This window comes from Homo sapiens, chromosome 8, assembly GCF_000001405.40.
Source record: "Homo sapiens chromosome 8, GRCh38.p14 Primary Assembly".
Classification (NCBI taxonomy): Eukaryota; Metazoa; Chordata; class Mammalia; order Primates; family Hominidae; genus Homo; species Homo sapiens.
In genome coordinates this window covers 86,247,036-86,258,856 of record NC_000008.11, presented here as the reverse complement: position 1 = coordinate 86,258,856, position 11,821 = coordinate 86,247,036, and the positions used below count along the sequence as shown (strand labels likewise).

Genomic DNA, 11,821 nt, shown 5'->3' with positions numbered 1-11,821 from the left:
TTTCTCTGAGTTCGATGGAATCACTCTCTCTATCAAACACCTTTAAGACAGGGGATGGGAAATGGAGCCTTGGTAGCTGTGTCCTACTTTCTTCAGAATGTTCAGCCAGAAACCAAAACAGCCATAAGTAAAGAGAAGCCTGGAGATTCTTCTGTAGATAACTTGAGACTCTTTAACATTGTTGATTAACTTGTTTTACCTGACTCGCCTAATAATTTATAGGAAGAAGCATTACTATGATCTAATGGCTCTGCTCACTACTTTTTGTTGGCCTAGAAGGTAGGTTCAAACATTTCTAAATCTTTTTCATGAACTTTTTCCTTGAGAAGAGTTCTGATAAACACTCATTATGTGAAGTCAGTGGGGGAAGAAGAAAAATTATGTCCATGTGGAGAGATTGTCTAGAATGCTGATCATGTGGAAATATTATGAAACATGAAAAGTAAACTAAGCAAAACTAGAGAATAAACATCCAAAGTACTTAGGGAGCCAAATTTTGGCACTATTTTCCACTTTTAAAAAATATGCTACTATAGTCCAGAAAAAAATGTTTCAGTGTTCTTCTCTGTAAAGTGACTTCTGAGTTCCTAGCTAGCAGAACTTATTATATTTATATGAAATACAAAGTCATAAACTTCTTTTACCATTGCTAATTGGCAAAGAATTTGTTTTAATTTTCTAGGTGAGTTAGTTGCAGTTTAACACTGTTTATTTTGCTGATTCAAGATGGTCAGTTAACATTTATTCAAAGAATGGAATAAATAGCATTTTATTTTCCTTAGTTACAAAATAAATAGCTCTTTCTGAAACTTTTGTATTACTCTTTTCCTACTACTTCAATTTAGGCTCGCTAGGCCTTTTGTTTAACTTTAGCTTACTGGTTCTTGAACCCACCCAGAAAGAAATTTTTAAATGATGCATTCTAGGCATGCATAATGTATGCTATAAACTTCTGCTTCATCATAACTTTTCTTGCACATTAATATTACTTACCATGGGTCTATTTCAACTGTGTGGAGCTCTTTTACATTCATGTTTGTGACCATTTCTGTCTCTTTAAAAAAAAAATTTAATTTTGCTACAGAAATCTACTAGCCCAGCTAATCTTTTTGATCAGGTCACAGAAGGTATCTGTAAGTCACTGATCTATGTATGCCTTTGGGCTGAGTGCCTATTCCTGGTAGACACACAGGCTGAAGGTAAGCAAGTTCTCAAGGAAAAAGATGTGCAATGCTGGGCACTACTGGCATATTATTATTGCGTATAATACAAAGTAATAACCTAAAGGTTATCCTAGTTCCTTGAATATTGAATATCCTAGTACCTTGAATATTCTTTTGAGATAAATTCCTTACTGTTTATTATGGAGCTCTTGAACTTGATTTATTTCATAATAAGGATCTTAGGACAAATAATTAAAAACAGCTTTTGAAAACTTGCTGACATGTTTGGTTAGCTGACCCAACAGTTACCTCTCAAGCTAAAGAATTTTTGTGAATTTTCTTGATATGTGCGGCAGCCTGACCGCCCTCCCATTCCTCTTGCTTTGGCTTAGATTCTGTGTCTGAAGCTCTAGCAGCCATCTATGGCTGTCAGGGAGTCCCTTTGACAAAAGGGAGCCATTGAACTGATGTTGACCCTAGGCTTCCTCTTACGCAAGAAAAGAAAAATGACTCTATTTTTAAAAATTCACTCAGATTTCCGATATCTTGATTTACACATAGTCCTAACTAATACAGTGAAATATGGTTATATCAAATATGGTTATACCAAAGTATGATTATTCCAAATACTTAGAGAACTGACAATAATGAAGCCAAAATGTACATTGCCCCATTTTTTAATGCGATGAAGAATTTCAAGATTAATTTCAACATTGAAAAGTGCACTTACTAGTTTGCTTTCTCCCCCTTTCCATTTACCAGTTTTCTCTATTTATAAGCCTTTAAGTGTCACCTCATATGCTGGGCAAACTGTATTGCTTTGCAAGCAGAGGCTTTTACAAATTGGTCATTTCCCTCAAAACATTATATGCCAATATAAAAATTTCTGCTTTGGAAGAACTAAGGATTTGAAGCATATAATTAAATTAATAGCAAAAGGATAAATTAGATCTCTTTGCTCCCTTTCTTCATCTCTCTTTCTCCAACTCTTTCTTCTTTCAACATCTCTCTTTAGTCTTCCCATTCTCCTTCTTTTTTCTTTCCCATAGCTGGTTCTTTATCACATTGCACAGTGCAATGAGATAAGTTTTTCATGAAGGTTCTAGAGATCTTTTCTTAGTATTTATAACTAAGTATTAAGTTATAAGTAAAAGCATGACAGACACTTTTTTCTTATAATTTTGTAAGGTTTTTTTTTTCTTTGCCAGCATGTTATATAACATGTTATGCAACAGAACTAGTAATGAAAAAGTTATCCAAATTTTCAGTTTCAAGTAATTTCCCCACTTTTTCTGTAGAAATATCAACTTCTGAGGTACATGGATTATGTCATAATTGTGAATTTTTGATCCAAGTTAAAATATGAGGTCACAAGTGATTGTTAACATTTGATTACTCACCCATGTTTTTCTATTTCCATGTAGAGAAATACGGCATATTTTAATGGTACACCCATCAGCTAAATGACATAAGTGCATCAGTGTGCGACAAATAAGGCAAGGCTAAAGAACACAAGTTGGTATATTATAAACGTTTTCAACGGAACAGGATCAAAACCAAAATGCTTAATGTTGAGTAAAACATATTTAAAGCAAACCTATATCATTTCCTTGCACGAAATGGCCACTTAGAAGATATCTAAATAAGAGGAAAAAAACAGAACATGCTTTTCAGTTTTTACTAGATTCAAGGAAATGTAAAAGAATCTATTGGAACAATGTATCTATGCCTGTATTAGTCTGAGAATCTAAATAGACATTATTTAACCAGATTCCAAAGTTCAAGGACAACATAGTTGAAAGATCTCTGATTTTAAAATCAATGTTTGTATAAGTAAACCTTTGTGCCCAATCTGTAAATTATTAAAATAAGTAAATAATGAGTTCCCAGGTTTCCTCTTTAGGTCTTCCACATGCAATGTTTTGTTTAGATGTCTCACTCACTCTTTGGTAGTTCATTACTAGTGACAGTCCTGGCATTTTTAGATTTGCCAATGATACATGGGGATTAAGTGCCCACCAGCATGTCCTCATGCAAATTTCAGGTTAGCTATTCCTGCCACATTCTCGAGTTAAAGTTTGAGAACCTCAGTGAAGGGTAGAGTTCTTCATCTAGAAGTTTCTCTAGTGTCCATTCCTTCATTGTCTGTATAGTTCACTTTGATTTTTGTCTCTAGGCCCTTCTTTGTCATGTGGCAGAAAACTTAGTCATTTTTAAGTAAAGGTCAATTGAGTTATTTTTCAGTCATTTAATTTTGAGATTTAATCATATTCAGGATGTTCCTCCTTTCAGTCTTTTGTTGCTCTCTTTTATCCTGGGTTGGAGTTTTAAGTTTTAGGGGCAGATGTAACTGCCACTGTGGTAAGGTTGTACCAGAGTCAGATTGGAGCTGGGTATTTTATTGTTACAAAGAGTCTATTTTGTCAGTCCATGATCTCTATTTTAATAACACTAAATGGCTTGGACTTCCTAGCCATTCCTAAACTCCAAAAAGAGAAGGGTATAATGAGGCATGCCTGACCCTGCTTCCTCACTGCAGCCTTCCTATCTTGTCCTAAATTAGTTTTTCAGGATTCTTTGGGATACCTTTGCCCAAAGCAAGGTCCTTGTCCATTAAGTCAGCTGGGGAGACTTAGAATTTTATGTTTGGTTTACAATGTCAAGGATAAAAGAGCTTATGGCTGTGAGTTCAATCACTCTCTTTCTCCCTCTCCCTTTTTCTCCTTCTCTCACATGTGCTCTCTCTCCATATAATGATTTCTACCATGTTATGACATAGCAGGAAGACTCTCACTAGCTGCAGACCCTCAATCATGGACTTCCTAGCTATTAGAACTGTAAGAAATAAATCCTTATTTTTTATATATTACCAAGTCTCAGGTATTCTGTTATAGCAGCAGAAAATGAACCAAGACAGAACATTTGTCTGAGAAGTGTGACTGTTGCTGTAACAAATACCTAAAAATGTGGAAGCAGCTTTGCAACTGGGTAATGGGTAAAGGCTGGAAGAATTTGGATGAGCAGGCTAATGTCAAAAGACAAAATTACAAGTTTAGCTTGAAGATCTTAATTGGCTTCTATTGCAATTCCAGAGTTAGACAACACTTCATTTTATAAAATAGAATAAGTATTCCAACGAATTGAGCAGAAGGGATTGGTTTTCTAGATGGAAAAGGGCTGAAGAAAGTAGAAACAAAGAATAAAAACAGATGGTCATTTCAAAAATACTTTCCTTATAAGAACAGGACAGTGAGACCAAACAATAGAAAAATAACTGATTGGTTAACATCAGGTTACTTTTTGTTGTAAAGATTAAAACAGCGGGAACTTCATTATCATACTGATTGAAGATTGAAACTGGCCTGTTTGGGAAATTGGCTATCTCTTTCCTGATTTCTTGGAAGGTCAGGTAAAAACTTAATTTTGTTTTGCTGATCTAAAACTTTAGCATGGGTGACACCATTTTGATTTTTAGTCTGGTCTGTTGAGGCCTAGTTCAGGACCTTAATCTAAAACAATGGCCTCCTATGATTTTTATTTAACACTAGAAGAAGCCTAGATTGCTATAAGTGAAGCACTAAGGATAATTCTGACAAGGGCTCCCAGAAGACAAGAGCTGTAGGGAAAGCCAAAATCTTAGGGATTATGTTAGTGGTTGTGATCAGAATGTTGGTAAAAATATAAATGGCAAAGACCTTTCTGATGAGAGCTCAGACGGATACGAGGAAAAAAAGCACTGAAATCTGGAATAAAGGCCCATCTTGTTATACAGTTACAAAGAACTTGGCAGAATTATGTCCACGTCCTAAAATTTGTTGAAGACAAACTTAAGCATGATGTACCGGGATATCTGGAAGAAGAAGTATATAAGCAACAAAGTATTCAAGGTGCTATATGGTTTCTTTTGGCTGCTTACAGTAAAATTAGAGAGGAGAAAAACGATTTAAATCAAAATTTATAATTAAATGTGAAGCAGAATGGAAAGATTTAGAAAACTCTGAGCCTGGCCATGCAAAAAGTCAAAAAGCATGTTTGGAAGAGTATATTAAGGGTGTGGTCAAGTGAGCAGTTGCTAAAAAGATTAATAAGGATAAAAGGAAGGGAGTTTCTATTCATCAAGACAATGGAAGACGGACCCAAGGGCATTTTAGAGATCTTTGAGTCAAGCTAGAACTTTGAAGGCAAGATAGCTAAAGAGGTACCTGTGGGACCTCAGTGTTCACTGCCCTACACCACCTTGGGACTCTGTTCCCTGATTTCTGGTGCAGTGCCCCTCAGTTGCCTCAGCTGTGGCTCAAGTGGGCCCAAGTATGTCCCAACCCACTGCTCTGGAAGGTAAAACCATAAACCTTGGCAGTGTCCACATGAGTATGTGTTTGAAAATACTTGCTTTCTGTCTATTGCTCATCTTTTCACTTTTTTTAATGGTGCCTTTGGAAGTGCAAAAGTTTTAAACATTGCTGAGGTCCAATTTATTAATACTGTTCTTTTACAAACCATGCTTTTTGGTCTTTGCCTAACCCAATATCTCAAAGATTTTCTTCCACTAGTGAAGAAAATGAACTCGAAATAAATCATAAACTTAAATGTAGGAGCCAAAGCAATGAAACTTTTAAAAGAAGTTTTATTATTTTGGCTCCTACCTTTAAGTTTATGATTTATTTTTAGTTAATTTTTGATATGGTCTGAGGCAAAAGTCTAAGTTCATCTTTTTGCATGTGGACATCTAATGGTCCTAGTACCATTTGTTAAACAGACTATACTTTCCTCAGTGAATTGCTTTGGTAACTTTGTAAAAAATCAGTTTAATGAAATATATGCTTTATTTTGGAGCTCTCAATTATGCTCCATTAATCTATATGCCTAAGTACTCGTATGGTCAGGGGTGGTGGCTACAGGGTGAAGCTCCTCTGCCTTTGGAAAGGGGAGAGTAGAATAGGAAGGACCACATCTTGTGGTTTGAATGCCAGCTGAGCTGCAATACAGCAGAATACCAGGTAGACTTCTAAGGTTTTTGACTTTAGTCTCTGACTTCCAGATGGCCCTTTTGGACCCACCTAGGGCCTGGGGGACCTCACCAGCATTCAAAAAAAGACACAGGCCTGGATGGCTTTGCCACTTGCTGATTGTAGAGCCCTGGGGCTTGAGTGAACATAGGCAGTAGCCAGGGCATGGTTACAGCAGGCCTTGGGTGAAACTCAGTGGTGGGCTGGTTTCAGGTCTGACCCAGCACAGTCACAGTGGTGGTGGCTAAAGGGGTGTGAGAGGGTCTGTATGTTTGGGAGAAAGCAAAGGAAGAGAAAGAGTCTCTGCCTAGTAATCCAGCAATTTCTCCAAGATTTTGTCCAAGACCATCAAGGCAGTACTTCTACAAGTCTGCAAGAATCACAGCATTGCTGGGTTTGGCATGCCCTTTAAAGCAGATAAAGCTTAGATCACAATACCCAAGTACTTTCAAATATTTGGAAAGCCTTCCCAAGAAGGATGGCTACAAATAAGCCCAGACAGTAAAGACTAAAATAAATACCTAAGTCTTCAATGCCCAGATACAGAAGAATATCTACTAGCATCAACACCATTCAGGAAAATGTGACCTCACCAAATGAACTAAATAAGACACCAGGGACCAACCCTGGAACAACAATGATGTGTGATATTTCATATAGAAAATTCAAATTAGCTGTGCAGAGGAAACTCAAAGAAATTCAAGACAACACTGAGAAGGAATTCAGAATTCTATCAGATAAATCTAACAAAGAGATTGAAATAATTAATAAGAATGAAGCAGAAATTCTGGAGCTGAAAAGTGCAATTGGCATACTGAAGAATGCATCAGAGTCCTTTAACAGCAGAATGGATCAAGCAGAAGAAAAAATCAGTGAGCTTAAAGATGGTCTATTTGAAAATACACAGTTTCAAATATGGGTCAGTTGTGGTGGCTCACACTTGTAATCCCAGCACGTTGGGAAGCTGAGGCATGTGTATCACTTGAGGCTAGGAGTTTGAGACCAGCCTGGCCAATATGGCAAAACCCCATCTCTACTAAAAATACAAAAATTAGCTGGGCATGATGGCACATGCCTGTAATCCCAGCTACTCAGGAGGCAGAGGCATGAGAATCTCTTGAATCTGGGAGGCAGAGGTTGCAGTGAGCCAAGATCATGCCACTGCACTCCAGTCTGGGTGACAGAGTGAGACTCTGTCTTAAAAAATAAAATAAAAATAAAATAGTGCTTATTTTTAAAAATAAGATTAAAAAAGATTTAAAAATAAAAAAATACACAATCAGAAGAGACAAAAGAAAAAAGAATAAAAAAGAATGAAGCAAGCCTATAGGATTTAGGCATGCTAAATAGTCTCAAAAGAGCAAATCTAAGAGTTATTGGCCTTAAATAGGAGGTAGAAAAAGAGATAGGGATAGAAAGCTTATTCAAAGGGAAAATAACAGAGAACTTCCCAAACCTAGAGAAAGATATCAATATCCAAGCACAAGAACGTTATAGAACACCAAACAGATTTAACCTAAAGAAGACTACCTCAAGGCGTTTAATAATCAAACTCCCATATATCAAGGATAAAGAAAGAATCCTAAAATCAGCAAGAGAAAAGAAACAATGTACAACGAAACTCCAGTAGGTCTGGGAGCAGACTTTTCAGTGGAAACCTTACAGGCCAGGAAAGAGTGCCTGATATATTTAAAGTGCTGAAGGAAAAAACTTTTACCCTAGAATAGTCTATCTGGTGAAAAGATCCTTCAAACATCAAGAAGAAATAGACTTCCCCAGACAAACAAAAGCTGACGGATATCATCAATACCAGACCTGTCTTACATGAAATGCTAAAGGGAGTACTTCAATCAGAAAGAAAAAGACATTAATGAGCAATAAATAATCACTTGAAGGTACAAAACTCACTGGTAATATTAAGCACACAGAAAACCACAGAATATTATAACATTTGTAACTATGGTGTGCAAACTACTCTTATCCTAAGTAGAAGGAATAAATGATGGACTAATAAAAAATAATAAGTACAATAATTTTCAAGACATAGTCAGTACAATAAGATATAAATAGAAACAACAAAAAGTTAAGTGGGGGGATGCAGTTAAGGCAAGTTTTTATTAGTTTTCTTTTTTGCTTGTTTGTGTATGCAAATAGTGTTACGTTGTTATCAGGCTAAAATAATGGGTTATAAGACAGTATTTGCAAGCCTCGTGATAACCTCAAACCAAAAAACATACAAATGTATACACAAAAAATAAAAAAGCAAAAAACTAAATCACGTCACAAGAGAAAATCATCTTCACTAGAGGAAGACAGGAATGAAAGGAAGAAGGAAGGAAGGGAAAAGCACAAAACAACCAGAAAACAAATAACAAAATGGCAGGAGTAAAACCTTACTTATCAATAATAACAGTGAATGTAAATGGACTAAACTTTCCAATAAAAAGACATGTCTGGCTGAATGGATGAAAAAGCAAGACTCACTGATCTGTTGTCTACAAGAAACACAGTTCACCTATAAAGACACACACAAACTCAAAATAAAGGGATGGAAAAAAAAGCAAGACCCACAGATCTGTTGCCTACAAGAACCACACTTCACCTATAAAGACACACACAAACTGAAAAATAAAGGGAAGATTTCTATTGGTTTTCATGCTAATGGAAGCAAAATAAAACAAACAAACAAACAAGAACAGATGTCACTAGACTGATATCAGATAAAATAGATTTCAAGACAAAAACTGTAATAAGTTCTGATGCTTACTTGAGTCATGTAAAATAACTGTAAGAAGAGACAAAGAAGGTCACTATACAATGATAAAGAGGTCAATTCAGCAAGAGGATATAACAATTATAAATATATAAGCACTCAGCACTGGAACATTAAGATATATAAAGAAAATACTATTAGACCTAAAGAAAGAGACATCCCCCAGCACAATAATAGCTGGAGACTTCAACATCCCACTTTCACCATTGCACAGATCTTTCACACAGAAAAATCAGACTTAATCTGCACTATAGACCAAATTGATCTAATAGATATTTACAGAACATTTTATCCAAGAGCTGCAGAATATACTCTTTTCCAGAGCACATGGATCATTCTCAAGGATAGACCATATGTTAGGTCACAAAACAAGTCTTACAATATTCAAAAAAGTTTGAAATAACATCAAGCATCTCCTCTGGCCGCAATGGAATGAAACTACAAATTAATAACAAAAGGAATTTTGGAAACTACAGAAATACATGCAAATTAAACATCATGCTCCTGAATGACCAGTGGGTCAATGAAGAAATTAAGAAGGAAACTGAAAAATTTCTTGACACAAATGATAATGGAAACACAACATACCAAAACCTATGGGATAGAGCAAAAATAATACTAAGAGAAAAAGTTATGGTTTTAAGTACCTACATCAACAAAGAGGAAAAACTTCAAATAAACAACCTAATGATGCACCTTAAAGAACTAGAAAAGCAAGAGCAAACCAAAATCAAAATTAGCAGAAGAAAATAAATAATAAAGATCAGAGCAGAAATAAATGAAATTGGAATTAGGCCAGGAGCAGTGGCCCACACTTGTAATCCCAGGACTTTGGGAGGCTGAAGTGGGTGGATCACTTGAGGTGAGGAGTTAGAGACCAGCCTGACCAACATGGTGAAACCTCTCTGAAATCTCTACTAAATATCTCTACTAAAATCTCTATTAAATCTCTACTAAATCTACTAAATCTCTACTAAAAATACCAAAAATTAGCCAGGTTTGGTGGTGGGGGCCTGTAGTCCCAGCTACTTGGGAGGCTGAGGCACCAGAATCATTTCAGCCTCGGAGGTGGAGGTTGCAGTGAGTCAAGTCATGATTGTGCCACTACACTCCAGCCTGGGCAACAGAGCAAGACTCCACTAAAAAAAAAATTGAAGTGAAAAAAAAAAACCCAAAATTGATGACATCAAAAGTCGTTTCTTTGAAAAGTTAAACAGAACTGACAAACCTTTAGCTAGGTTAATTAAGAAAAAAGATAAAAGATCCAAGTAAATAAAACCAGAAATGAAAAAGTAGCCATTATAATTGATACTGAAGAAATTCAAATGATTATTAGTGGCTACTATGAGCAACTATATGCCAATAAATCAGAAAATCTAGATGAATTGGACAAATTCCTAGATACAACCTACCAAGATTGAGTCAGGAGGAAATCCAAAACTTGAACAGACCAATAACAAGTAATGAGATCGAAGCGGTTATAAAAAGTCTCCCAGTAAAGAAAATTCCAGGACCTGATGGAGTCACTGTTGAATTCTGCCAAACATTTAAAGAAGAATTAATACCAATCATACTCAAATTATTCCAATAAATAGAGGAGGAGGAGGTACTTCTAAACTCACTCTATGAGGCCAGTATTACCCTGATACTGAAACCAGACAAAGACACATCCAAAAAAAGAAAACTACAGGCCAACACCGCTGATGAATATTGATGCAAAAATACTCAGTAAAATACTATAAACTGAATTCAGCAATACATTAGAGAGATCATTCATCTTGAACAAGTGGGATTTATCCCTGGGATGCAAAGTTGGATGCAACATATGCAAATCAATCAATGTGATACACCATATTAACAGAATGAAAGATAAAAACCTTATGATCATTTCAATTGATGCTAAAAAAGCATTTGATATAATTCAGCATCTCTTCATGATAAAAACCCTAAAAAATCTGGAAATACGAGGGACATTCCTCAACACAATAAAAGTCATATACCACAGAACCACAACTATTATGATACGAAATGGGAAAAAAACTGAAAGCCTTTCCTCTAAAATCTGAAATACAACAAGGATGTCACCACTGTTGTTCAACACAGTATAGGAAGTCCCAGCTAGATAGAGAAATCAGACCAGAGAAAGATATAAAGGACATAAATTGGAAAGGAAGAAGTCAAATTATCTTCATTTGCAGATGATAGAATCTTATACTTTGAAAAACATAAAGATGCCATCAAAAGACTATTAGAACTGATACACAAATTCAGAAAAGTGGAAACACAACAGTGCCAACAGTGGACAATGTGAAAAAGAAATAAAAAAGTAATTCTATTTACAGTAGCCACACATAAAATTAAATACCTAGGAATTAACCAAAGAAGTGAAAGAGCTCTATAATGAAAACTATAAAATGCTGATTAAAAAAATTGAAGAGGACACCAGAAATGGGAAAAATGTTCCACATTCCTGAATTGGAAGAATCAACGTTGTTAAAATGTCCATATTATTGCCCAAAGAAATCTACAGATTTAATGCAATTCCTATCAAAATACCAATGACATTCCTCACAGAAATAGAAAAAAAATCCCAAAATTTATATGGAACCACCAAAGACCCAGAATAACTAAAGCTATCCTAAGCAAAAAGAACTAAACTGGAGAAATCACATTACCAGACTTCAAATTCTACTACAGAGCCATAGTAACCAAAACAGCATGGTACTGGCATAAAAGCAGACACATAGACCAATAGAATAGAATAGAGAATGCAGAAACAAATCCACACACCTACAATGAATTCATTTTTGACAAAGGTGCCAAGAACACACTGGGGAAAGAAAATCTCTTTAATAAACGGTGATGGGAAAACTATATGC

At 35.6% G+C, this 11,821-nt stretch overlaps 2 annotated features.

Annotated features, from left to right (window-relative positions):
- Positions 2,867 to 3,011: an enhancer, noted in NCBI's record as "145 bp enhancer 29 fragment used in the MPRA reporter construct; PK_construct_1805". NCBI's record gives its function as "activates an SV40 promoter by MPRA in HepG2 cells {active_cell/tissue: HepG2}" and the evidence as "EXISTENCE:reporter gene assay evidence [ECO:0000049][PMID:23512712]".
- Positions 2,933 to 2,946: a transcriptional cis regulatory region, noted in NCBI's record as "HNF4 motif; enhancer activity is reduced when this motif is scrambled". NCBI's record gives its function as "necessary for full MPRA enhancer 29 activity {active_cell/tissue: HepG2}" and the evidence as "EXISTENCE:site-directed mutagenesis evidence [ECO:0005528][PMID:23512712]".